The 4,745-nt window shown below is 38.0% G+C and overlaps 1 pseudogene; it reads right to left on the minus strand.

Moving 5' to 3' along the window:
• Positions 1,224 to 2,139, minus strand: LOC729217 (EBP like pseudogene; annotated as a pseudogene).

Consider the following 4,745-nt stretch of genomic DNA (forward strand, 5'->3'; position numbering starts at 1 on the left):
TTAACCATTATTCAATATTATTTTCAGTTACAGGAACAAGGTAGAAACATTTCTATACTCCTTTGAGGGATTAAGGAACACTCTTCGAAGGTGGTGACACTTGAACGGAGTCTTCTAAGATGATATCACATGCTCCAAGGGGTTGAGGCACTCCACACAGCAGAAATAACATCAGCATAACTTTGTATTGAAATACTATGCTTCTCTTCCTGTCATTGACTTACTGTTGGCCACCACTCAAGACTATATTCTTCAGTTTTAGTGCATTGAGAAAATCGAAGGAATAATTAGAACACAGATATGTTGCTATAATTTCCCACCAGGGTGAGATAATCTAACCATCCCAAACAGGGCATGGGATGCATATATAGCTTTTCAGTCTTAAGAGCAAGGTAGAGTCTCAAGAAGTCTCCTCAAATGTAATCTTGTTCCAAGGTCTTGTGAGATAAAGGGAAGAATATTAATCTTTACCACTTTGGATAAGTCTTTACTATTTTTAAATTTAGAAAGGAAATGTTGCTAAATCTAGAAGGATTTTATAAACAACAAGAGTGTCTGTTGTAACTCTTTTTGTTGTTGATGGTCTAATGTAGATCATTTTCCCCAGAGTGACTAAAAAAAAATACCAATACTCTACAGATAAAGGAAAATCGATAAGAAGCGTTTTTGGAATGTTTCTTTTTCATAGCGATTGACCTGCGCATTTTATATACAATCTATTATTTAAGCCTCACAACTCCATGAGAAAAAAACAGAACAAATATCAGCGTGTGATAAGGAAACTGAGGCAGAATTGAATTGGTCAAAGTAATATAAAGAGTAATATTTGAAGGCCGGAAGCGGTGGCTCACGCCTGTAATCCCAGCACTTTGGGAGGCCGAGGCAGGCAGATCACGAGGTCAGGAGATCGAGACCATCCTGGCTAACACGGTGAAACCCTGTCTGTACTAAAAATACAAAAAATTAGCCGAGCTTGGTGGCGGGCGCCTGTAGTCCCAGCTACGCGGGAGGCTGAAGCAGGAGAATGGCGTGAACCCGGGAGGCGGAGCTTGTAGTGAGCCAAGATCACCTCACTGCGCTCCAGCCTGAGTGACAGAGTGAGGCTCTTGTCTCAAAAAAAAAAAAAAAAAAGTACAGTTTGGATTGTGTTCTAAAATCACAAATGTCCACTTGAAAAGTTATATCCTTGTTTATTCTGCAGTGATGCCATTGTAATCTTTTTTTATAATTAAACATTTTATTATTACAAATTTAAATTTGTTCTCTTTTCCCTATATCACCATTTAACTGAACAACAACACAACGAAAACTGGTCGCCTTAAAACCAATTTGAAACAGGTTGTTCAGGAGCAACAATACAAAAACAAAGTGTAGACTGGAATGTATTACATTTTGGCCAAACAAAAAGATTTGATTCATTCTGGCTCATGAAGTTAGATAATGGTGTTTATGGTTTTGACAGTTCACTGAAACTTTTTCACTGAACTGGTTTCTTTCGGATGCATTTTCTTGAGTTCTACCCATGACTGCCACAGTAGCAGTCCTGGGATCAGAACCCACACACCGTTAAAAAAAAAACAGGTAAAGCCAACAGTACAGCCAGCCAGTTGCTGGTGTTGAGGTTGGGGCTTCTGGTGAGCCACTCTGGGAGGAAGGTCATCCAGCAGCCATACATCTCGCACACGCACAGGGTGATCTGCAGGAAATGCCGGTAATATTTTTCCTTGACTATGGCATAAATGAGGAACAATGCCAGAGACACATCTAGGGCGACGGCCAGAATTTCCACAGACACAATGGTTGGATCAAAATAAACCCATCTTGCATCAGCTTTGCCATATTCTTTCCATAAAGAAGCAATCAAGCCATCGGAATTTGCAACGTTTCCTACTAAAGACAAGTAGACAAAAGGGCCTTCTTTTTATTTTCTTTCTTTTTTTTTAATGGTGCTACAGCAATTTATCAGTGTTCTTGAAATTTCATTCTGTGGATCCCAGGACCCCAGCACTCTCCTGGTTCGTGGTCTTGCCCACTCTCTCCAGCGCGAAGTGCACCAGCGCGTCGTAGCAGAGCCAGATGAGCGCCCCGCGGTCCGTCGCCCCCCGCCCGCGGCCCAGGCGCAGGCCCAGGGTGCAGCCCCTGTAATCTTTCAAAGTACTGTAGTTTGCCCTTTAGTCCATCTATGCCAATTAATTACAAGCATTTTATTCTATCAACTTCTATCTGTGGAGTCCAAGAATCCAACAATCCAAACACCCAATAATCCAAAGAACAAGAATAAACTTGTAATTCCAGATATGCCTTTATAAAAGCAGAACCACCAGGAAACTGCACTACCTGTGGAGGCCCCTTGGATCTGTCCCCACAAAAACAAAATTTGGCCAGTACTCCAAGTCTTATGTGATGACATAAATCCACTTTCAAGCCAGTACAGAATGTGGAGTAGGCACACGGAATTTCAATTCAGACTAGTTAAGGTCTGTATTTTGGTTCTGTTACTAACAGAGTAATTCAGCAGAATCATTTGATTTGTATTAACCTCAAACCTGTCATGAGAAAATAGGAACACTAAGTGTACCTACCACAGAACTGTTGTGTTTTTTACACCCCTTGGGAAATATTTAACACTGTTTCCTGTGCATACTAAATACTCATATAAACTCTTTGTATCTTCATCTTTATTGTCATCATTATCTTTATCATCATGTTATAATTACTTGCTTCTTGATTCACCCTTAATGACTCTTTGGATCAGAAAAACATTGTCAATAGAAACAGAGATTGACCGCTGGTCAATTAGACAGTCACCTCTCAGAAAGAAAGGTCAAGTGTAAATTTATAAACTCTTTTTACTAAATGGGACAGAACCTGTCTTCTAATTAAGCCAAGGAGAATGTTTAATAGGTAAGATAGTTAAGGAGTCAGAGAGAGGGCGAAAAAAATAATAATACTGACAAAAAACAAAGAAAGAAAGATAAACAAAGAGGAAAGATGATAGTTTTGGCTAGAGTTTCTTTCTCTTTAGATTCTTTAAATTATACTAATTACTTGAGACTCATCACTTCAGAGAAATTGACACTCCGTGTACAACTCAACTTTCTTGTATAATTAGTTATTTGCTTTTTAACCCTTTAGTTTAATCATAACTGGGCTTTTCTCTAGTTCAAATTAGAAGGAGGAAGACTTAGAAATTGTAAGTGATGCTATCCTCTTGAAAACATTAGCTTTGTCAGGAAAATATGAAAGCAGAAATTAGCAAGACATTTGTACACATGGTTTTATTGGTTTGGTACTTATTGGAATGCTTTTCTAAGATATGTTGTCAGTAGTTTTAAAGGATTTTAGTTAGCCATGAAACAGCTTGTTTAGAATTGTACTTGTGTCAAAAAAAAAAAAGAAAGAAAAAGCGGGGGCGGGGGACGGGTAACGAACAATTCTTAAGTAGAAAGGGATTTTTTTGCAAATTCAGCTCCCTAGAAGAATCAATACCGTATCATAACTTCCCCCCCCCCGCCCCCCGTTGAAATAGTGTGGTTTAAATATAAAGATTCTATTCTTCCCTGGGAAAAAGCAATGTTTAAATTTTCCACCTGACATGTTATAGTGTTATATTTCATGTCAGGTTGTTTCAGCCACGGCAAATGATAGGAAGCCTCAGTGATACTATGATACGAATTCTGCAGCTCACATTGAGTTATCTTCGTGAGACATATCAGCCTGTAAACATACATGGGAAATACGTGCCATTCTGAAAAACAGAGATAATACCCACGGGTCCCAGAGATAGCGATGTTCATCATTTATTTGTGATGCAGGTTGAAGGTAACAAAGCAAGACAGTAACACTATTTATTCGGCTTAATAAAATTAAGACAACAGAAAGATTTGTTGTAATTCAGTGGATCAACACAAAAAACAGCCAAGTACAACCAGTTGAGTTTAAATAAATAGTTCTAAAAATGACATGAAAGAGCTCTAAAATTTATCTCATCTCTACTGTGTGCCAGGTTCATTTCAATATATCACTTGATTTAATAATCACAATTTTTTATGAAGGCAGTATTATTCTCACTCTTCATTTCTCCCCCCAAAAAGTAATAAAGAAAGCAAAACTACTTCATTTAACTAAATTGCTCACCATTTTATTATTCAATTGTCTAAATAGTATGCAATGTCTTCCAACTTATTTGCTGGGCTTTGAGTCAAGAGACAAATAGTGAGTTTTTCTGTTGTCACAAATAAGACTCTATTTCAGGCCTTCATTACCCCTGGCTTGAAGTTTTGCAGTAATTTTCTTAACTGACTTTTTTCAAATTCAGTTCTCCTTTAAAGCTTTTCATCCATTGTAGCTTAGTTTTTATTATCTTTAAGTATAACACCAGTCATTCACTTATTTCCTCAGAAATTGTCCACTGGAATTATTTCCAGTTTTAGAATGGCTTCTAAGTAACCAAGAATCACTGGCTTAGACTCTCCTAATTTCCTACGGGAATAATTAGAAACCCACAGAAATCCTCAACCTTTTTTCCTAGACAGCCAAAGAACTCTGGTAGGGTTTGGAAACTGAGTAGATATAGATGCAGCTCAACTCTCATAGAACTGGCCACAACGAGAGATAAAGCTAGTGTTAAGAAAACCAAAGACATTCTCTCCTAAAATATCAATGCCAAAGTGCTTTAAACAGGCTGGGAGACCAAAGGAAAAAAAAAAGGTGGAGGCCATTAAGCCAGTTCCTAAAATATAGGA

The sequence above is a fragment of the Homo sapiens genome, chromosome 16 (genome assembly GCF_000001405.40).
Source record: "Homo sapiens chromosome 16, GRCh38.p14 Primary Assembly".
Classification (NCBI taxonomy): domain Eukaryota; kingdom Metazoa; phylum Chordata; class Mammalia; order Primates; family Hominidae; genus Homo; species Homo sapiens.